This window comes from Homo sapiens, chromosome 1, assembly GCF_000001405.40.
Source record: "Homo sapiens chromosome 1, GRCh38.p14 Primary Assembly".
NCBI classification, from domain to species: domain Eukaryota; kingdom Metazoa; phylum Chordata; class Mammalia; order Primates; family Hominidae; genus Homo; species Homo sapiens.
This window is the reverse complement of record NC_000001.11, coordinates 93,021,612-93,045,385: the sequence shown is the minus strand read 5'-3', so window position 1 is coordinate 93,045,385 and position 23,774 is coordinate 93,021,612. Positions and strand designations below refer to the sequence as shown.

At 40.5% G+C, this 23,774-nt stretch overlaps 1 pseudogene, besides 2 other annotated features; it reads right to left on the bottom strand.

Moving 5' to 3' along the window:
* Positions 2,634-2,893: an enhancer, noted in NCBI's record as "active region_1325". NCBI's record gives its function as "activates an Ori minimal core promoter by ATAC-STARR-seq in GM12878 lymphoblastoid cells {active_cell/tissue: GM12878}" and the evidence as "EXISTENCE:reporter gene assay evidence [ECO:0000049][PMID:35858748]".
* On the bottom strand, positions 18,844-19,134 carry RN7SKP123 (RN7SK pseudogene 123; annotated as a pseudogene).
* Positions 23,480-23,774: a silencer, noted in NCBI's record as "tiled region #7481; HepG2 Repressive DNase unmatched - State 12:CtcfO". NCBI's record gives its function as "represses a minimal TATA promoter and a strong SV40 promoter by Sharpr-MPRA in HepG2 cells {active_cell/tissue: HepG2}" and the evidence as "EXISTENCE:reporter gene assay evidence [ECO:0000049][PMID:27701403]".

The following is a 23,774-nucleotide window of genomic DNA, read 5'->3' as shown; positions in this document are numbered from 1 at the left end:
CCGATCATGCCTTGGCTACTATTAAAATTTCTAAAAGGGGCCAGCCTCAGTGGTTCACACCTGTAAGCCCAGCACTTTGAGTGGCCAAAGCAGGCAGATCATTTGACGTCAGGCGTTCAAGAACAGCCTGGCCAACATGGTGAAACCTTGTCTTTACCAAAAATATTAAATAACTTTTAAAATTGCAAAAACCACAGTTACTTTTGCATCAACCTATACAAAAACTAGCCAGGCATGGTGACACGTGCCTGTAGTCCCAGCTACTTGGGAGGCTGAGGCAGGAGAATCTCTCGAACGCAGGAGGTGGAAGTTGCAGTGAGCCAAGATCACGCCACTGCACTCCATCCTGGGCAACAGAGTGAGACCCTGTCTCAAATAATAATAATAATTGTTATCATCATCATCATCTAAAATGTTATAATCCCTAAAGATCTCCACATCTGATTCTCATATTTTGTAAGTTGCATCTGCACTGCCAGTAAGGTTTTGCTTTCAAATTGTTTAGTTTTGTTTTTGAGTCTTCAGACTTTAAAAAAATTAAACAAGTTATACTACACTGTGTTTGAAAAGAAAAAGAATATAAATGAAAAGGGAAGCCATAAATATCAGTCAACAGACATAGTTGAGAAATTTGGGGAACTCTAGGTCTATACAACTTTCCTAGATTGAACCCTGTAGTCTCAATTGATTTCAATGAGAATTTTTTGTCAAGTGAGGGATGATAATTTTTATATAGATCTCATTCTTACTTTTCCAAGTTTTCACTTTAATTCTGTAGTGGACTCAGTGTGGGTAATAGGCATATTAGATTCCACAAAATTGTGAAAGTTATTGGTCTGGATTTTATTTTAGAGTGCCAACTGTTGTGGTATTCACTTCTGTTTGAATCAACTATAGCGTATAATGTCAAAACAATACATTGGAACCAATAGCTCCCAGGGTAAAAATTATCCGTGTACAGATGGTGGGCAAGAGTGATTACTTAAATTCTAGATATATAAATACCATAAGTACATATTCAGAGTTATGAATGGAGTAAGGATTCCCACAGTATTAATCTAACTTCAACAAGCCACGCAAATAGAGTGAAACACAATCTGTTCTATACATTTTGCACACTCTCAATTGCTGTAACATGAGAAATGGTATTTTAAGGGTAGAAACCCTCAACTGCTTTGAGACCACAAAAGTCCATCAGTTTACAGCTGGAGGCTTCTATCTATTCAGAATGTTTGGTACTCTTACAAACAGTAGCCCCACCGTTAAAATTAATAGATTTTGTATCCTAGGGGGCAAAGTTCTTTAAAGTCATGACATGACTTTTGCTTTGGCCTTGATTTTCCTTTTATTTCTAAGGAGTTTCTGTAAAAGGATTCCTTTGTTAACATATACCATTTTCGTTATAATATAACATTAGTTTTTCCTCTGTATTTTCACAAAAGCAAAAAAAAAATTGTACAAGCCAATACTTATCCCTAAAATATATTTTTCTGATTACAAAGTATTGATGTTATTTCTGAAAAAATATAAAAAGTATAAAACAAAAAATAAAAATTACTCATAATACACATAGAGAATAACATTTTGGTGTCCATATTCCCATATAAAACACAGTCATATGTTGCTTAACGACAGGGTACAGTCTGAAAAAAGCATTGTTTGGTGATTTTGTCCTTGTGTGAACATCATAGAGTGCACTTACACAAACCTACATGGTAGAGCCTACTACACACTTAGGCTATATGGTATAGCCTATTGCTATACCATAGCACCATATAGGACTATGAATTGTCCTATAACTAAATATGGTACTAAGAACATAGAAGACAATAAATGCTTCAATTTATGATAATTAGGCATTGAGCAAAACTCTGATTTTCTATACCAGTTCTTCACAAGATGCCTATTAAATTGAGTTGAAACATTGATGGGATTGGTGTCTGCAAGAAATATTCTGGAAATACTAAATTTTATAATTTAATGTTAATAGGCTTTTAGTGTTGAGAGTAATGTATTTCTTGCTAAGTCATCAATAAACATCTAATTTAAAATACAATAAAAATAATTTATAAAATAGGTCATTACACTTATACAAGCTTGTTGAACAAAGGCTAGTAATATAATTTTTTAAGTACCATGAAAAGAGATCATACTGGTTCTGTGTGGTGGCTCATACTTGTAATCCCAGCACTTCGGGAGGCCGAGATGGGAAGATTGCTTGAGCTCAGGAGTTCAAGATCGGCCTGGGCAACATAGCAAGACCCCATCTTTAAAAAAATACAAAAAAATAGCTAGGCATGCTGGCACGCACCTGTAGTCCCAGCTACCTGTGGGGCTGAGGTGAGAGGATCGCTTGAACCCTGGAGGCGGAGGCTGCAGTGAGCCATGTTTGAGCCACTGCACTCCAGCCTGGATGACAAAGCAAGAACCTGTCTCAGAAAAAAAAAAGAGAGAGAGACAGTTTGTATCAAGTAGTCCAGAAGAAATAAAGCTGGAGACTAAAGTTTCAGTAGTGCTTTCTAGAACTTTTCAAGACAAGGTTATCTGTATAACTGAATTTGAGTATTTCACCAGGCATGAGAGCCAATCTCATGTGAAACACCGAATAGTCCCAAAGAACGTGAAAGGAATATCGTAATGAGGCAGAATAGGGTCTGGAGGCAAGGAACCTAAGGCTGATTCACCCTGACTTCCTAGAACTAAATCGAAAGAAAAACCCCAACTTTCTGCACCTACGTAACAAAAGGACCAGAAGCTACTCCCTTTGCAAACCCCAACCTTTTCTACACAGCAGATGGGAAACTGAAACTACCTCTGAGTGGTTACTTTTTGCAACCAATCAGACCTTTCCATAGGAATATAACATTGTAACTTCACTTCAGTGATTATGATTATGAGCCAAGGCTACATTTGCATAGAAGTGCAACTTTATAACTTCACTTTAGCCTCTGATTGTTTGCTTTCCACAACCAACCATATGTTTGCATAGGAGTGTGACCTTTGTAACTTGACTTCAGCCTCTGATTGCTTGCTGTCTGCAAGCAATCAGACTAATTGTGGACCACCACTTCATTTACATGTGGTGAACACCAAGTGGCCAATGGGAAACCTCTAGCGGGTATTTGGACCCAAGAAGGTTCTGTATCCAGAGCCTTTGAGCCGCTGTTGGGAGGGCTTCCACACCGTGGAGTGTATTTTCACTTTCAATAAATCTCTGCTTTCATGGCTTCATTGTTTCCTTGCTTTGCTGTGCGTTTTGCCCAATTCTTCAAAATGCGAAGAACCTGGGCAGCTTGCAGTCAAGAGCCTCTACTGGTAACAGTAACATGGGTTGTTTTTGTTTTGTTTTGTTTTTACAAGAGTAGGACTTTCCTCATACCCTAAGTCTTTGGTCATTAAGACACACAAATAAAACTGCATATCCTGCACTGATCATCAGCCAAGTATATTTACTAATTTCAATTAGAAGAATATAAACACCTTAACTGTCACAGTTAATTAGTATATTTGGAGATGGTGATGGAGAATGTTACGTAGAGAAAAAAAAACCAATTACTTATAGTGCAAATAGAGATTCTTAGAGGAGGGCTAAGGCAGAACTTCAAGATTAGTGTCAGATAAGGGATAAGAAGATAAAGAATAAGGGCCGGGTGCGGGACCTCACGCCTGTAATCCCAGCACTTTGGGAGGCGGAGGCGGGCGGATCACGAGGTCAGGAGATCGAGACCATCCTGGTTAACATGGTGAAACCCTGTCTCTACTAAAAATAAAAAAATAAAAATAAAAAATTAGCCGGGTGTGGTGGCGGGCGCCTGTAGTCCCAGCTACTCCGGAGGCTGAGGCGGGAGAATGGCGTGAACCCGGGAGGCGGAACTTGCAGTGAGCTGAGATCACGCCACTGCACTCCAGCCTGGGCGAGAGAGAGGGACTCTGTCTCAAAAAAAAAAAAGGGTTAATTTCATGCCAGGCACTGTGCATGACAATTGCAATACAAGTTAAATACTATAATAGAAGAAATAACAAAATTCTGTGAGGAGAAAGGAAGCTGTTCAGCCAGTGTGTCTACCTAGCCATTATTCCTTCTAAGCCAGCTGCTGCTATGTTAGTCATTTCACACAATTAGCTTTTGCTCCAATATATTTTTATTCCAACCTGACTCCGCTGGCAGATTCTGGACTCTAGGCTCCTTTACTCTGGCTCCAACCCTCTTCTGGCCTTTTGAACCTGGAGCTTGTCCCGTCTCCCTGCCATTTGATTCTTCTCTTTCTAATACATTGGCTTGGACTAGATTTCTTGAGTTTTGTATCTTCAGGTGCCTTGATAAAAGCGCAGATTCCTTTACTCTGTTTAAACCCTGGCTATAGTCACAGACTCTCTGAAAACCCCACCCGGTGTTCAGACAACTGTCTTCGTCTCACCCTAAGGCAATAGAAAACGAAATTCACGCTGGGCGCAGTGGCTCACGACTGTAATCCCAGCACTTTGGGAGGCCGAGGCGGATGGATCACCTAAGGTCAGGAGTTTGAGACCAGCCTTGCCAACGTGGAGAAACCCCATCTCTTAAAATACAAAATTAGCCGGTGTGGTGGTGGGCACCTGTAATCCCAGTTACTTGGGAGGTTGAGGAATGAGAATCACTTGAACCCAGGAGGCGAGGTTGCGGTGAGCTGAGATCGTGCCATTGCACTCCAGCCTGGGCAACAAGAGTGAAACTCCATCTCAAAAAAAAGAAGAAAAGAAAGAAAGAAAGAAATTCAAATGGCCCTTCACCATATGAAAAGACATTATCATAAGGCAGTTGCAAATTAAGGGTAACTGAAATAACATCCTGCACTTCTCAGATTACGAAAAAACAAAAGCGTAGCAATACACTTTGTTCAAGAGATTGTAGAAATAAATAAACTACTGTTGGAAGTGCAGAATCCACATCCCTTTGGGGGTGATTTAGAAGGCATTTCAATTGCACGTATTCTTCAACCCAGCACTATCACTTCTGGCAATTCATTCTAAAAATATGTTTGCATTTATACAAAATGACAAATTTACAAGGTCATTTATTGAGGCATTGCTTGTATAGCCATGAAGATTGGAAATAGCCCAAATGTCCATCCATAGCAGAATTTTCCAATCTCAGCACTAATTGACATTTTAGACCAGATAATTCTTTGTTATGGGACTGTTCTGTGCATTGTAGCATATTTAGTAGCATCTCTGGCCTCTACCTACTAGATGTGAGCAGCACTTTACTCCCAGACCAAAATGATTGTAGACAATGCCAAATGACCCCAGTCAGGGACAAAACCTCCCAGACTCTCTAATTGAGAACCACTTATATACAGATAACTGGTTAAATAATAATGGTATATTCACAAGTGGAATACTATGCAACTGTAAAAACAATGTGGAGCTTTCAATGTGCTAATATGGAATACTGATTGGATAATAAAAAGAATGGAAACAAGAGAAGAAAGAAAGCTACATTTTCATGATTACAAGGATGTGAGGAGATGGAGAGAGAAGACTGTATCTCCATTATCCATACACTTTTTTTTGTTGTTGTTGTTGAGGGAGTCTCACTCTCTCTGTTGCCCAGGCTGGGGTGCAGTGGCGTGATCTCAGCTCACTGCAACCTCCGCCTCCTGGGTTCAAGTGATTCTCCTGCCTCAGTCTCCCAAGTAGCTGAGATTACAGGTGCCCACGACCATGCCTGGCTAATTTTTTTGTATTTTAGTAGAGACGGGGTTTCACCATGTTGGTCAGGCTGGTCTCTAACTCCTGACCTCAAATGATCCACCCTCCTTGGCCTCCCAAAGTGCTGGGATTACAGGCATGAGCCACAGTGCCCGGCATCCATAATGCTTTTTAAAGTATATTCTAGATAACTTAAATTTTTAGCTGTGTGAAAAGTAAGGCTACAATTTTCATCCAGAATGTTCAAGATAAATAGTGAAGCTATAGAGAGCAAAAAGTAATTTTAAAACAATAATTCTCATACAAACTAAAGTTATTTCCAGAAAGTGTTGGAGGGTTGATTGCATTTGCTTATAACAGGTTCTTGTGCTACTGTGAAGAATTGTTCAGAGATCTGTTCTGGAATCTATTAATAATGAGTTATAGAAGTTATAAAGTTATATCTTTCCAATGCATTTTAATTTCCTTTTGAAAATACTTTATTATTTAAGGTTCTAGGCCAGAAAGGAATCAAGCTGCTGCCCTATGTTGCCAAGGATCTAAAACCATCCTCCAGTTGTGACTCAAATAAGAACTACTTCATAGGAGAAAAAAAATACATCCTGCTGATAACATATATCAGTGACAATGTCACACTAAGTGTCCATCTCTGATTAATCCTGCAGCCGAACCTGAGCTCCATGGAGATCTGTTTATTCCTCTATTCATTCAGCATCATGTTTAAATGCATACTGTGTATGAGGGATAATGTCAGGTACTGAATACAGTCCCAGCCATGAATGACACATTTCTTGCTTTCAAGGAGGAGTGAAGGAATTAGACCTTAAAAACCCTATAAGTACAGAATGTTATGGAAGTACAGAAAAGAAGCACAGAGAAATCAGTTTATGAATCTGCCTTGTTTTACTTTCAATTTTGCTCATAACAATCCTCACGACTATAATGAATGTCTTGTGTTTTCATTGCCAACAAGAATAGTACCCTTCCTACAGAATCCTGTTTAGGTTCTATAAGATTCCACCTTCTTAGAGAAGTCTTCCTGGACCATCACCAAGCCATCATAAATGTAATACATATCATTTGTTGATCAATACGTGCTAGGCCCTATTCATAAAATACTTTTATTATTTTCACATCTTTTTAAATATTTTTTATTATATTTTATTTTATTTTATATAACATTATATTATTATACTTCACATCTACATTTTGAAGAGGTGATTATTATGCCCACTTTACAAATGAGGAAAATGAAGCTTAGTGAGGTTGAGTAACCTCAAGTTCCTCCTGCTGCTAAGTAGTTGTGCCGGATTTGAAAAAAGGCCTGATTCTAAAGCCTGTTCTCATACACACTGCACTTCATGGTGTACCATTGTGTTACTCTGGACTCTTATAGCATTTGTCAACTGTATTACCCATTTATTCATTCATCAAGCATTAAGTGTCTATCATGAGGCTGGGTGCAGTGGCTTACGACTGTAATCCCAGCACTTTGGGAGGCCAAGGTGGGCAGATCACCTGAGGTCAGGAATTCGATACCAGCCTGGCCAACATGGTGAAACCCCGTCTCTACTAAACATACAAAAATTAGTTAGGTATAGTGGCAGGCACCTGTAGTCTGAGGCACAAGAATCGCCTGAACCCCAGGCGGCTGAGGTTGCAGAGAGCCAAGATCACACCACTGCACTCCAGCATGGGTGACAGAGTGAGACTGTTAAAAAAAAAAAAAGTCTATCATGTACAAAATGACTTGTCATTTACTGCCTAGGCTATTGTTTGTTTGCTGGGCTCTGTGTGTGTGCGTGTGTGTGTGTGTGTGTGTGTGTGTGTGTGTGTGTGGTTGCCTTGCCTTCTCAACCTGTTGTAAACTTGTCTTACAGTTGAGGACTTTTAGGTAGGTCCAACCATATAGCTTTCAGTTTGCATTTGATTTACATTCAGCTGATCCCTAAATCTTTTTTATTATACCTTGAAATGTGTCTCAGAGCTTTCTTCTTTTCCCTTGCCATTGCCAGTGCCCTAACGCATCATTTCTTGCCTTTTCTCCTGTTGGTCTCTGAGCCTCAGTTCTGTTTTTTTCCCTTCAAAGATTCTTCCTTCCTGCAGCACTTAGTTACATAGTTAAATCTGATCATATTACTTCTCTCTCTCTCTTTTTTTTTTTTTTGATTTTTTTTTTTTGAGATGGAGTCTTGCTCTGTTGCCCAGGCTGGAGTGCAGTGGCACGATCTCAGCTCACTGCAAGCTCCGCCTCCCGGGTTCACGCCATTCTCCTGCCTCAGCCTCCCGAGTAGCTGGGACTACAGGCGCTCGCCACCACGCCCAGCTAATTTTTTGTATTTTCAGTAGAGACGGGGTTTCACCGTGTTAGCCAGGATGGTCTCGACCTCCTGACCTTGTGATCCGCCCACCTCGGCCTCCCAAAGTGCTGGGATTACAGGCATGAGCCACCGCGCCCGGCCTCTCTTTTTTTTTTTTCTTTGAGAAGCTGGAGTGCAGTGGCGCAATCTCAGCTCACTACGACTTCCGCCTCCCGGGTTCAAGAGATCCTCCCACTTCAGCCTCCCAAGTAGCTGGGATCACAGGCACCCATGACCACACCCAGCTAATTTTTTTTTTTTTTTTTTCATTTTTAGTAGAGACAGGGTTTCACCTTGTTGGCCAGGCTGGTCTCGAACTCGTGGACTCAAGTGATCCACCCACCCACCTCAGCCTCCTAAAATGCTGGGATTACAGGCAAGAGCCACCTCACTGGGCCATTTCTTAAACACCTCAAATTCCACAGGACAAAGACAACATTCCTGGGCGGTAGCTTGAGGTTGGAGCCCTCCTCTCCTGGGCTGCTGTCTCCTGCACTCCCCTGCTCTGCACTTCACTCTCCAGCCCACTAGTCCAGTCACATTCCCTAAACAAAACGTGCTCTTTCTTTTTGTTTGTTTGTTTCTTGTTTTTTTAATTTTTAGACAGAGTCCACTCTGTCACCCAGGCTGGAGTGCAGTGGAGTGATCTTGGCTCATTGCAGCCTTGACCTCCCCAGCTCAAGAATAGCTGGAACCACAAGCGCAAGGCACAGCACCCTGCTACTTTTATATTTTTTATAGAGACGGGGTTTTGCCATGTTGGCCATGCTGGTCCCAAACTCCTGGACTCAAGTGATCCACCTGCCTCAGCCTCCCTAAGTGCTGGATTACAGGCATGTGCTGCTGCACCTGACCCAAACTATGCTCTTTAATAGTCCTGGGTCTTCTGCTATGTTACTCCCTCTGCTAGAATAAACTTCCTTTCTTTGTTCACATGGTGACCTCATCCTAATCCATCAAAAATCAGTTCAAATATTCTAGACTTTAGTCCCATTAGTGCCCAAATTAGAAGTTCCTTCCTCTGGGATTCACTTTGTTCATATTTCCATGTTTCACTATTCACAGTGTGATTTATATATGTTGACTTGCCTGCTTTCTTTTAGTCTGAGCTCCTTGAAAACAAAGGACCATGTCTTCTTCCTATATGTGCTATCATAGAGCAGCTTCACGATAAAATTAGGTGATAAATCAGTAATTAGACGAACAACATTTCTTTTTATAGCATTTATTTTTGCCTATGCTTTTTCATTACAGTTAGTCTACATTACCCACAAAAGAGTTAAAAAAAAAAACTACATGGGTTGTTTGTTATATGTTTCTTTCTCATAACATCTTTTTTCTTTCCCACTTCTATAATGGCAGGGAACCAGGAATTATACTCATGGGTGTCCTGGGGACCATCCTTCCTCAGTTCCCACTCATTCTGTCCAATTCTGAAGTATTAAAGGATCCTCCAGGCTTGCCCTCACTCTTAAGTCGTAGAGGTACTTTTTCATTCAGACTGATATCCTAGTTTTCTTTTCATTTGGACCATTCACCAGCCAGCTGTGATTTATTTCAATGGCCACCACTAGTCACAATAGAGAGACAAAATCAAATAAAATCAATATAATGGCTCTCACCAAATATTAAATCCTTTCTCCTCTGTCTTCAATAGACAGAGGCACCTGGCAGCTTCAGAGGCTGGTTTTCCCTGGTCCTTACCAGGATGTCTATTGTTTTCTGCTTATTTCAGGGAAAAGGTACTCATGTTTATCAGACCTCAGGAGTCAGTATTTTGTTGTAATTGGCCTGTGCTGGTCCCAGATCCTGGAGGTTGGAGCATATTTTTCCATGGAGAACTCCCTCTCCAGGCGTATCTGTACTCTATGTATTGAAGTGTTTTCATGCTAAGTAGATTTTTTGTTTGTTTTCGGAGATAGTGTCTTACTCTGTCACCCAGGCTGGAGTACAGTGGCTCGAACACCAGGCTGGAGTGCAGCCTCGATTCCCCAGGCTCAAGCGATCCTCTTGTTTCAGCCTCCTGAGTAGCTGGGACCACAGGCAAGCACCACCATGCCCAGCTAATTTTTTGACTTTTTTTGTAGAGACAGTGTTTCACTATGTTGCCCAGGCTGGTATTGAACTCCTGGGCTCAAGCAATCCTCCCACCTCAGCCTCCTAAAATGTTGGGATTACAGGCATGAGCCACCATGCCTGGCCTAAGTAGATTTTTTAAATATTCTAATTTCTTCAAAATTAATCAGTGAAGAGTTGGGCATGGTAGCACACACTTATAGTCTCCGCTACCAGAGAGGCTGAGGAGGGAGGATTGCTTGAGGGCAGGAGTTCCAAGGCCTAGTTTGCTGTCATCATGCCTGTGAATAGTCACTGCCCTGCAGTCTGGGCAACATAGTGACACCTCATCTCTAGAAAAAAAAAAAAAAGTACTGTACTAAACAATAATCTTTTTTATCTTTTGTAAAAAAATTTTTTTAATCAAATATCTTGTCAATTTCCTCTGGCAAATTGCATTATTCATAATATACAAAAAGTAGAAACAACCCAAATGTACACCAACTGACAAATGGATGAATAACACATGGCATATCTGTAAAAGTGAATATTATTCGGCCATAAAAAATGAGTGAAACACTGCTACATGCTACAACAGGGGTGAACCTTGAAAACCTTATGCTTGGCCAGGCACAGTGATTCATATCTGTAATCCCAGCATTCTGGGAGTCAATGGTGAGAGGATCACTTCAGCCCAGGAGCTCAAGATCAGCTCAAGCAGTGCTCCCATCTCAGCCTCCCAAGTAGCTAGGACTACAGGCATGCACCACCATACCTGCCTAATTTATCAATCTTTCTTTCTGAGGTGATGAAAATATTCCCAAATTGACTGTGATGATGGCTGTACCTATATGTGAATATACTAAAAACCATTGAATTGTGCATTTTAAGTGAGTAAATTGTATGATATATGAATTATATCTCAGTAAAGCTGTTTTTAAAAAGTGCTAAAATATAAAGCTTTTCCCTTTCTTCTGAGCTCTTCCTGGATTTGCAGTGGTATTTTTTATTTGCTATTTAATGTTTTTCTGAATAAAGAAAAATTTAAATTTAAAACTATTACCATGAATTTTAATGTTCATCTTTCCGTTGTGCAATGCCGGTTTTAAATGAAAATATCAGAGTATTTAACTCATGCAGAATCAACAAAATTACACAATTTGTATATTGTAGCTTATACACACACATATGTTTTGTTCTTACTAGAACAGTAGAAACACTGCACAAAACTAACTCAACTGTTTTTATTTCACTTCTTGATTGCACGTGTTCCTCCTAGCACTATCTTCAGCTTACTGATGAGTAAGGAGGAACTGAAAGGGAAAGAAACTAAGAGCTGTTATCTTTCCCTTTCCTTATAGGGCATCATTTTCTGTGTAAGTGGTTGGCTAATACAGGGAAGCAACATAAGCAAGAATGAATATGACATGATTCCTTTGATAATTTTTTTTAGGATGCCTTTGCTTTCTCTCTGCAGTCAAAACAGGCTCCGGTTTGAATGGAAAACATGGCCTCTCAGGACTGTCAGTGCCTACTTATTTGTGGACATACATGCTAATCATGTACTTCCTTTGTGTCTGCTACATTTCTAGGCATTGTGGGTCTGTAGTGGAATTCTGTGTTCATGGAGCAAATCTGGAGAGCCATATGCAGACAGATTTAGTAACAAAGACTGGAAGGCACTCATGTATCTTCTCTGCTCATGCCATTGTCCCATTGAACATCACTTACAAAATATAAGTTCAAAAGTAAAATAACTAAGAATTTCAAAATGGAGACAGCAGAGCATTCAACCAAGTGCAAAGCTCTTCTGAGAGTGGACCCTGTGTGATTGCACAGGTTGCACACCTGTGAAGCCAACGCTGATTGAAATACGAGATTTCTAAATCATTTTAGATACATTTTTGGATAAGCAGTGCATCTGAGGGCATAACATTTCTTGAGTTCTAATCTTTCTTCCCAACTGAGTGACTTTGAGCAAATGACGTATTGTTTGGCAAGTTCTTGGAATTGAATTGGATGTTTTCATCTCTCCCTTATCCTGTCCTGACTTAAAAAACTAGAAGAGTGAATTGCTGAGTCATTTTGCTCAACTTGTCGAAGTGAAGAACAGATGGCCCTGTTCAAAAGGTTTTAACCCCCAAGAGGGCCTGTGGTTGACAGGGAACAGGGGAGGGGTTGAGCAGTTGGATGTTGCTGGGAGCATGGGGCATGCATGTAGCTCAACGGGGCATGCATCTGATCCAGATGTGCATCAGGTAAACCAAGAGAGGTCTGATACAAAGCTCTTCAACCTCCTAACCCTCTCTAAGAAGCACAGCAGAGCATCAGAATAAATGGATAGAAAGGTAGTTTGTAAATTAAAATTGCAAATGCTCAACGATAATAAATATTGCTTTTTATCTACATGTCATTTAATGGCCTTAATAAAGGTAATCTATACAGATTGCCTAAGAGAAATATTTAAATAACAAGTTATTTATAATACTTACTATTTAACCAGAAAAATACGTTAATCAGATTCATGAAGGTAAAGCACAGAACAACTCTAAGTTATTTTATAACTATGATAGTAATACAAGCTCAAAAATATTTACCGAATGTAGAATTAGAAAAAGGAATCTAATTTTGAAGAAAACACTTTAAGCTGTGGTGATGGGCTGCTAGACACTATCAAATGCAGTAAATTCTACCATCCATTGTTCTATTAGTAAGAAATGCCTGTTATCTGAACATTTCCCTTTTTAATCCGATACCATATAATTATCATAGGATTTCATATATTATTTCATTATTATAGGATTTCAATTCTGTGTTCATGGGGCAAATCTGGAGAGCCATATGAAGACCCTGGGACTCATGTAGTAATCCAAAATTTTTGAATGGTGACATTACATTCTATTTTATTTCAATGATATTATCACATTTCAGTGCTTTGAAGACTCAGTTTCTAGAATATCTTATTTATAATGTACACATGGTATTTGATTACCAACATATCCTATTCTCTGGCCAAACATAAAAACTCTAGTAAGTAAAGATTTTATTTACTTAATTTCTAGATTAAGATTTCTAAATTTCTCTATACATCAAAAACATTTCTGCTTTTCAAAAAACTTTTCATTATTGTCAAATAAATGCAATACTTTTATTTACTTTTCTAGACCTCTGTCCTTCTATAGTTATAAAATTCACTTTTGTTGTTTTCATGTGCCAAAGCCTTATATCAAAACAATGTACTCTTTTAAAACTGCAAGATGCAAGTGTAAATTTTATCCCTGTACAGATGGTTAATACACTACTGATTGGTAAAGCGAGGTGGAAGCATGAGAAATACAATCCCAGACCAATTTGCCTGGCATTGTTCAAGCACAGAAGAATCAGAAAGCCCACGTGGGACCTTCCTCTACATTAAGAATACTCAGTGCATGAACAGATGCACCAGCCTTTTAAAATGATGGTGCATCTAGCTTGGTTATTTTCTTAAGAAAACTATTTAACTATTAACCAATGCTAGAAAGATATTTTTAACTTCTCTCTCAGTTAAACTTCCTCGTCATAAAATTGTATAAATCAAAGCTTTTCCTACACCTACTCTCCTATTTGCTTTATTTGAATTGTATGAATTCCCGTGGTATTAGACTTTGTATTTAGGAAACAGCTTTATCACGAATGCCATTAATCCAATATTTATGTAAAAATTTCTTTTTCTATAAGAAATAAGTTGGCCGGGCATGATGGCTCACGCCTGTAATCCCAGCACTTTGGGAGGCCAAGGCAGGTGGATCACAAGGTCAGGAGATCGAAACCATCCTGGCCAACATGGTGAAACCCCATCTCTACTAAAAATACAAAAATTAGCTGGGCATGGTGGCACATGCATGTAATCCCAGCTACTCGAGAGGCTGAGGCAGGAGAATCGCTTGAACCTGGGAGGCAGAGGTTGCAGTGAGTCGAGATCGTGCCACTGCACTCCAGCCTGACGACAGAGGGAGACTCCGTCTAAAAAAAAAAAAAAGAAGTAAGTCTATGTTAGCAATCTAAGGACTCATAAATGATGGATGCTAGCACTGATCATCAGTGAACTGGGAAGCTGCATTGGAAACAATGACACCAAAGAAAAAACCATAGACTTTCTTTTTTATCAACCAGACTGATAGACTGAGGAAATGCTAAAGATCCAGTGTTTCCTAATTAGAGCAGAGAAGTTGGCAAAAATTTTCCATTGTCTCCTTGTGAATAAGATATTAAAGTGAAGTGGAATTATGGTATTACAAGTGGCTTCATAATCCATGGAACACTGTACCCAAAGGGTGTCTACTAGTCTGGAGGGAATTTTCTAGTAAAGGGTCCTGGGCGAATACTTGGAATTGCCTATTTTCAGACTTATATCGGTGATTTAGATCACGGTTTTGAAAGATATATATATATTTTTTCTTTTTTTATTTTTCTTAGAGACAGAATCCCACTCTTGCCAAGGCTGGAGTACAGTGGCGTGATCATGGCTCACTGCAACCTTGAACTCTTGGGCTCAAGCAATCCTTCTACCCCAGCCTTCCCAGTAGCTAAAATTATAGTTGCACACCACCATACCTGGCTAATCTTTTTTGTATTTTTGTAGAGTCAGGGTCTCATTGTGTTGCCCAGGTTGGTCTTCAACTCCTGGCCTCAAGCAATCCTCATGTCTCAGCCTCCCAAAGTGCTGGGATTATAGGCATGAGCCACAGCTCCCAGCCTTAAATATTAGTTTTGTAAAGTATAACTCTTTACTCAAGGAAAATCATCACAAAAGAAAAATATATAAGTGGATAAAAATGGAATGGCTCTGGTGAAGACAACGGGTAAGCAAAGGCATTTCCACACATCTCTAGGTCTTTCCAAAGTGCAGTTACAGAACTCATGACCCAAGTTAATCATATTGGCTAACTTTTTTTTTTTTTGAGACAGAGTTTCACTCTTGTTGCCCAGGCTGGAGTGCAATGGCGAAATCTCAGCTCACTGCAACCTCTGCCTCCCAGGTTCAAGCGATTCTCCTGTCTCAGACTCCTGAATAGCTGGGATTACAGGTGTCCACCACTATGCTCGGCTGATTTTTCATATTTTTAGCAGAGATGGGGTTTCACCATGTTGGCCAGGCTGGTCTTGAACTCCTGACCCCAGGTGATCCGCCCACCTTGGCCTCCCAAAATGCTGGGATTACAGGCGTGAGCCACCGCACACGGCCCATATTGACTAACTTTTACTGGGAGTCACTATGTGCCAAGCATTGTCCTAAGAACTTTACAATCTATTATCCCATAGAATCATCACCACCACCCCTTTCTATGAGAAACAATCTCTTATTAGCTCAATTTTACAGACAAAGAACCTAAAAGTCAAGAGATAAGGTAATTGTTCATGGTCACATGGTAGTAAATAATGGAGCTGGGCTTGGACCCGAGGTTTCCTGATTCCAAAGCTCAGTCTTTTTAACTGCTATGGCATTAGGCCTTCTGTGAAAGCCTTCATGTTACAGGTGTCAAATGTTGGGCAGTGCAGTAGGGTGGGAGGAATAATCGTAGCATTGCGTTCACTCAAAGCAGCCCAATCCCCAGAACACACCACCAAGCCAAGGCACACTGGCTTGCTCTCTATCTGCTCTCGAATCTCCTATCCCCATCTATTATCTCCTTCTGCCCTTCCCCTTTTCTCAGCTACTGATCTGTGCCTCTCTTAGTCTGTGGCATCCTTTGATCCAATTTGACACCTTGTGGTTAAACACAGGCTTCACTCTGTGATGTTCCCATTGCTTCTCTGATTGAATCTGACACTTGTTTCCGCTTCTCAAGCAGCCCATACATCTGTTTTCAGTGTTGTGATGCCCCAGGTGTGGCCACCAGAATGCCAGATGTGGGCAACAGTTGCTACCATGAAAATTCAGAGTGAACATCAAATGCATTTTGTTTTTTTTACTTAGAACAAAAGCACAAGACACTTACATATGAGGTGAAATTGAGTGTTCTAGTTTCCACACTTACATGTGAACTTCCTAATAATTTACTAGCTTGAGCAAAAGTATTTCAACATTGCTTTGAAAAGGAAATGTTAGTTATTCTATACTGGCATGTAGTCACGAAAAAAATACTTTTAAGAAATGTGAGAAACATAACTGCTTATTTCCTTCTGTCACACACTATATATATTACATATATGTTATATATACTGTTTGTATATATATGTGTGTATATGTATATGTACATATATAGTCTCTATAATACATAGTATATACTACATAGTCAACATCTCAAATACAATAGACATTTAATATTTGTGTAAAATTAAATGTACAGAAAGCATCTTGCTGTAACATTCAACGAAAATGCATACAAAGAAAAATATCTGGTCTTTCAAAAAGAGTTAGAAAAAGTATTTTCACACGGATCCTTCCAAAGTTCTCTCCATGACATGGTCCAAATGAACCATGAGTTCAAAGAATCTGGATTGCTGCAGGAGGCTGGTCTTGGCTCTCATCACATCAGCCTCCTAGAAAGGAGTCCTGCAGAGAGCCAGGGAGGTGAGGCAACAAGACTGCACCTACCTCCACATTGTTCAGACCCAATTGTCATTCATACTTTCTGTCGACGTTTTTTCAAGCCTCTTCAGGCTCCTGTGTCCACTATGGGATCAAATACTCCTATAATTCCCTAAGCCCAGGAAAATGCCTGTATTTCTGGAGAAATTTTAAGGTAGAGAGGTACTGCCTATTTGCTTGCCAAAATCCCAGCTTTGATAGTTTCTGTTGAGATTTCAGACTGCATAATCAATAACATTTCCAGAACTTGGAACTAATTAAGAGAAAGATGCAAGAGTCAATTCGAGATCAAAATACCACTTGAATTATGATAAAGGGTAGTTTGGAGGTTGTAGTCTAGCAGCAGAACTGTGCAGACTGGGCTACCCACTCGCAGGCAAACCTGGGTGACCCTGGAGCTCTTGCTGTACAATTCAGTGTAGAGGAGATGCACAGAATGCATGTACTCCCTGCAGGAGGGTAGACGCCAAAGAGAAACAGAGAAGGAACATGCTCATCTTCCTTAACATCAGGAGTGGAAGGTTAAATGGTCTGAGGCAAGAATATATACAGACTGTGGCAGTAGTCAATGGCCTGACCATCAGGGGCTGATCAGGGGCTTGAGGATTGGAGACAGAGGCATGTGTAAGGACACGAGAGAGTAGGCACCAAGCGTGAAGATTTTTGCGTCATGTGTTAATGCCCACCAGAAGCAGCCACCACAGAAGAATTCCTGCAGAAAGTAGACAAAATTTCTTGGCTAGTTGATGTATGGTCAGCCTTTGCCACTGTCAATCCCAGGACAGACACAATGGGCACATGAACAGACTGGCTATGGTGGCAGAAATGAAGGCTATGTATTGACCCAAAAGCATGGACTCCCACTTCCCAGGGCCAGTCTGGCTATTGCTGCCTCTCAGTGTTCAAATTTTCAGGATTATAGACCAACACTGGGGTCCCCGAGGAGGCAAGCCTGAGGGTTCCTTCCATCCTAGGAGGGCCAGCAGTTCATGCTCACAGGGTAGATACTTATTCCAGACATGGATTTGCCTTTCTTGTCCACAGAGCCTCAGCCAGCATGATTTTCTGGAGGGTTTTGGAAAGCCTGATCCACGGACATGGAATTCCATCCAACATAGCCTCTGACCAGGCAATCTATTTTATAAGGAAGAGATATGGGTCTGGGCCCATGACTCCATTTCCTGAGTGAATAGAGCGGTCATGGCTATAAACAGTGGTGTTTACAATGAATTGATCACAACCAGTTACAGATTTCTTTGTTCCTTCTCCACTACCACTGCTTTACTTGACTAGCCTTAAAAAAAGATGGAGAGAAAAAAGAAAATAATGTGAGCTTTCCATTTTTCACTTGGCATTGCCTGAGTAGACATTGTGGAATTGCTCCATTTTGATCTTCTTATGTGCTGTTATAGATGGAATTGTGAACCCCCAAAATACACATGTTGAATTCCTAACCCCCAGTAGGACAGCATGTGACTATATTTGCAGACAGGGCTTTTGAAGAGGTAATTAAGGTAAAATGAGGTCACTTGGGTCCCATAATCCCATATGATTGGTGCCCTTATAATAAGAGGAGATTGGAACATAGACGTACACAAAGGAAAGGCCATGTGAAGACAAGTGGAGAAGATGGCCATCTACAAGCCAATGAGCGAGGTCTCAGAATGAAGTCAACCTTGCTGACCCTCCCACTTTTTTTTTTTTTAAGGAAGGCAGACTGTCACATGTAGCACCTCGTTTGGATCTGCCTGGAGTTCTGCGAGATCCAACATGAGTTCCTACATTTTCTTGCAAAAAGACCTTGAAAGCTTATCTGGAGGCTCCAGCAAAACTCACAAAGAGCACAGCTATTCTTTTTTTTTTTTTTTTTTTTTTTTGAGACGGGGTCTCACTCTGTCGCCCAGGCTGGAGTGCAGTGGCACGATCTCGGCTCACTGCAACTTCAGCCTCCCAGGTTCACGCCATTCTCCTGCCTCAGCCTCCCGAGTAGCTGGGACTACAGGCGCCTGCCACCACGCCTGGCTAATTTTTTGTATTTTTAGTAGAGACGGGTTTTCACCATGTTAGCCAAGATGGTCTCGATCTCCTGACCTCGCTATCTGCCCGCCTCGGCCTCTCAAAGTGCTGGGATTACAGGCGTGAGCCACCGCACTTGGCTGAGCACAGATATTCTTATATCTTTGACCAAAGAATAGTTATGTCCCTTGCTAGAACCTGATGTACGTCCCTTGGTTTATCAGAAGTTACCAAATCTGCTTCCTTACAAAACTCAGAAAAAGCACAGCTACTCTTATATCCTTGACCAAGGAACAGTCTTCCTCTATCAGCATGCAGCTTCAGGAGGGACACATATGGAGAGGTGAGGAAGGGGACACTCACTGAGCCAGCCAGATGAGCTGAGTCAACCCTGGGGATCATTGGGGTGACAGATGTCACAGCCAGGTTGCCCTCACATCCCATGCCCACACCTTGATCTCAGACTTCCAGCCTCCAGAACTGTAAGAAAATAAATTTCTGTTGTTTAAGCTACCCAGTCTATGGTATTTGTTATGGCAGGCTTAGCAAACTAACACATATGTTAATTTAATAATAGCTAGCATTTGTAGTTGGATTTACAGCTTACAAAGTACTTTTTTGAATCTCATAACAATCCCAGTGGTTGATAGGATGCTACCATTTTCATTTAGGAAACTGAGGACATGGGAAACCCTCACTATGTGGGGATGACATAGTGAGAGGCAAAATTAGGTTATGAACCCAAATATTTTGACTCCAGCCCCTCTCTACCAAGTGAGTCCTCTGTTTAAAAACCCTCAGTGGCTTTCCATTGCCCAAACTGTTTCCTGAGAATGGCATGCAACGTCCCTTACATGCCGGTGCACCCTAGCCTTCCAGTTCCATCTACCATCATTCACTTCCTTTCAACTGGTGCTTTATCAGTATGGAATTAGTCAGCACTCTTCATAAATCACATGCATCTTGCTTTCTCATGCCACTGTGTGAGCTATTTCTCCAGCCGAGAGGTTTTCACTGCTTTCTCAACTTGACAAATTGCTGGGCATTCTTCAAATGCCCAACTCAAATATTACCTTCCCTGTGAACCACATCATGACTTTCTCTGTGCTCCCATATTTTGTATGTATTTTTACTATTGCACTTATGATATAGGAAGGCAAATTAACAGAGTGGAAAGGGCCAGGGCTTTGGATCCAGGCACACATAGGATCAAATCCTGACTCTGCCATATTTCATTCAATCCAATAGCTTTTATTGAGCATGAATTACATGAAAAGCACTGAACCATGTTCCAGGGATACAAAGATGACAAAGCTGTTCTCACCTGAAAGATTACAATCCTAATGCAATATACTTGAGGGTTCAGACAAACAGTATATTAAAATTTTGAGAGACAAGTGCACTGTACAAAGAAGAGCAAGAGAAAGTCAAGGTAACTTCCTAAGCCTCGGTCTCCTCATCTGCAAATGGGGAGATGTGCACCTGCCCCTTACAGTTGGTGGTAGGATTAAATGATATCATATGTAAATCATCTAGTAAAGTGCCTGACATTAAGTACTCTGATTATGTTGTGGTTATTTCTGTGTTTCTGTCTCTCCTACTTGACCATGGAAGCTCCTTGAGGTCCAGGAACAGTCTTATTCATCTTTGTTTCATTGTTGGTTGAATGAGATCATGAATGCATGGGAGCCTGAGAATGTGTTTTAGGATCTTGTCTATTCTAAGGTAAGAAGGTTAAGGAGCCAAAGAAACTATAGCAGCCCTAAAAAACTCTTCAAACTTGTAAAAACATTCCATTTTTAAATTAGTAGAACAAGGGCGAGCTCAGTGGCTCACTCCTGTAATTCCCAGCACTTTGGGAGGCCGAAGCAGGTGGATCATTTGAGGTCAGGAGTTTGAGACCAGCCTGGCCAATATGGTGAAACCCTGTCTCTACTAAAAATACAAAAATTAGCCGGGCATGGTGGTGGGCGCCTGTAGTCCCAGCTACTTGGGAGGCTGAGACAGAAGAATTGCTTGAACCCGGGAGGCGGAGGTTGCAGTGAGCCAAGATCGTGCCACTGCACTCTATCCTGGGCAACAGAGCGAGACTCTGTCTCAAAAAATAAATAAATAAAATTAGTAGAACAAATAAGGCTTCCTGAGGTGATGTATGCCCCTCGGTTTATCAGAAGTTACTTAATCTGCTACCTTAAAAAACTCAGAAAGCAGGCTAGGCACAGTGGCACACACTTGTAATCACCTGAGGCCAGGAGTTTGTGACCAGCCTGGCCAGCATGGCAAAACTTCGTCTCTACTAAAAACACAAAAATTAGCCAGGCATGGTGGTGACGCCTATAATCTCAGCTACTCGGGAGGCTGAGGCACGAGGATCACTTGAACCCAAGAGGCGGAGATTGCAGTGAGCCCAGATTGTGACACTGCACTCCAGCCTGGGTGACAGAGTGAGTGTCTCAAAAAAAAAAAAGTAAAACAAAAACACCCAACAACTCAAAAAGTGACAGATCTGGAAGGGTGGATTTTGATATGAAAAAGAGGAGTAGAAAGTATAGGTCAGACCAAGTTTAATCCAAATCCCCTGATCTTTTTCCTCTTCAACAATTATCGGTGCCTTATTACTGAGAATTTAAAACATCTACTTAACTAAGAAGTTGGTCAATGATGGGAAGCTGGAAGATCAGTATGTCAGAAACTCCCTGTTTTTTTCTCTTTTGCCCTTGTGGCAACCCTTAAGGAGGATCCTGGGAACATGGTAAAAGTCACTGCTTTAATAAATTCTATAAATACCATGCACATAAATAGAAGCTTCTAAGTCTTCAACAACCATTGTTTTTAGCACACACACACACACACACACACACACACACACAAAGATTATGAGATAAATACACATTGGCCTTCAAGGTCAGATTCTCTTGTAACAATCCCAAGCTATTAACTGGGAGAGTAATTAACTTGTAATTTAAGCACATTTTAAATAGCTTAACAAATCTTTGTCCAGTGAAGCATTCCTAGAGGAGATGCCATACCTCTAGATTAATCTTAAATGTTCTCAGCTGTATGTGCAATCTGAAGTTTGCTCCAAATTACCAAATCCAGGTTCTACTTTTCACCATTCCATCGATTTTCTTCAGTTTGTATGCAGATTTCTGCCAAGCCGGTGGTCTGTAGCTTGCAATTGACAACACCTACCAGCTGTTAAATTTACACATCGCTCCAATTTAAATGCTTAATTGCTCTCAGTGCACTCAATTTACAGCTCATAAACCCCTCTCAGATGGCCCCTAAACCTCTGCCAATAATAGATTCTAAAGTTAAATGAACCATAGTGTCCCTTGGTAGAAAATTAAATATCAGAATAATCTTATACTTTTGGAATGTTTATAATTATTTGTTGGAAAAAATTAACATCTGAGGGTTTTCTTTTTTATTTTATTTTTATTTTTTATTTTTTGAGACAGGGTCTTGCTCTCTCAGCCAGGCTAGAGTGCAGTGGCACAACCATTGCTCACTGCAGCCTCAACCTCCAGGGCTCAAGCAATCCTCCTGCCTCAGCCTCCCAAATAGCTGGGACTACAGATGTGTGCCACCACACCTGGCTAATTTTTTACTTTTTTGTAGAGACAGGGTCTCACTATGTTGCCCAGGCTGGCCTTGAACTCCTGGGCTCAAGTGATCCTCCCACCTCAGCTTCCCAAAGTACTGGAATTACAGGTGTGAGCCACCTTGCCCAGCCATAGGGTTTTCTTTAAGTTAGCCTTGGAGAGAAATAAAAGTTTCAACAACTGTCATATCTTCTACCAGTCTCTTAGCATACTTGTCTTTGAAACTGGAACAGAAGGTTGTTACCTGCCCTTATATTTGTATAGTGTCCTGGATGACAGGGAGGATAAAGGAAATATTAAATATTTTATGGACAATGACTATATCATTACACACTATCGCAATGTCAATGGCATCTAAGATAAAGAATACAAGTACTGTAAGTGTGGTATTCTGGTGGGAGAATCTGTGAAGGCTCTTCTACTGTCTGCCTGCCCCCTTACCTGGGAAAGTGAATGTTGAGTTTGAAAGAGCTCATCTCATTCAACTCCCTCTTTTTATACATGAGGACACTGAGTCCCAGAAAGCTCAAGTGGATTGCTCAGCCAGTGAGTGAGGCAGGGCAGGACCGGGATCTCAAGTCATGGCCTCTTCAGACAGCATCTTAACCACTTGATCTACCCCAGTTTGTTGCCATCAGCATCAGAAAGGAGAAAAGGCAGAATTCAAGTAAGTCTTTCTTAAACCTGTACAAGATACAGAAATAAATTTTTATTCAACCAATGATGCATACCCAGGTACTTCCTGCTTTAAGCCGAACCGTATATGAAAATAGAGATTTACACGAGGCTAAATTACAGAGTTCTTCTTGATCTAATTAAAAAGGATTCATTATTGGATTCCCTTAAATATCTAGCACCTCTAGTGAATTTTTAAGTTCACTTATGCCAGCCCCAAAACACGTTTATTATGTAAATTAAGGTATTTATGCATTTTAACTGATTAGCAAGTGTTTATAAAGTACCTAACACTATGCTAGGTGCTATACAATTTTTAAAAATAATAAGTTTAATATAAGCCATGTTCCCTGCTAACAAAAACTTTACATGTTAGTGTGGGCACAAGACAAATGAAACAACTTGAAAACAAAACAGTATATAATGAAGTGTTAAATTGTATAATATGGAAGGCCATGTATAATAAAGGTGAAAAAAAAGACAAGTGAAACACTTTACGAAATTCAAACACCTCTGAACTCATTTCATTTGTGTGTTTTTCTTTTTATTCATGGGCTAGCAAACGGAAACAGGTTAATGGCAATGTAGATGAGAAACTGTCCTTTACTCCCTTTGAAATACGGTCATTAGACAGATTTGTAAGTTTTGACACCTCCTAGTGGCAAGTCATAGTAACTGTCTGTCTGCACTTAATGTTCTGTAACAATTTTTGATGCCAAAAAACGGTGAAGAAAACTTTAATTTAAATTGACTTTTCAAAGTTTTCTTTGAATAAGAGAGGCTGAGTAGTGTAGTGGTCAA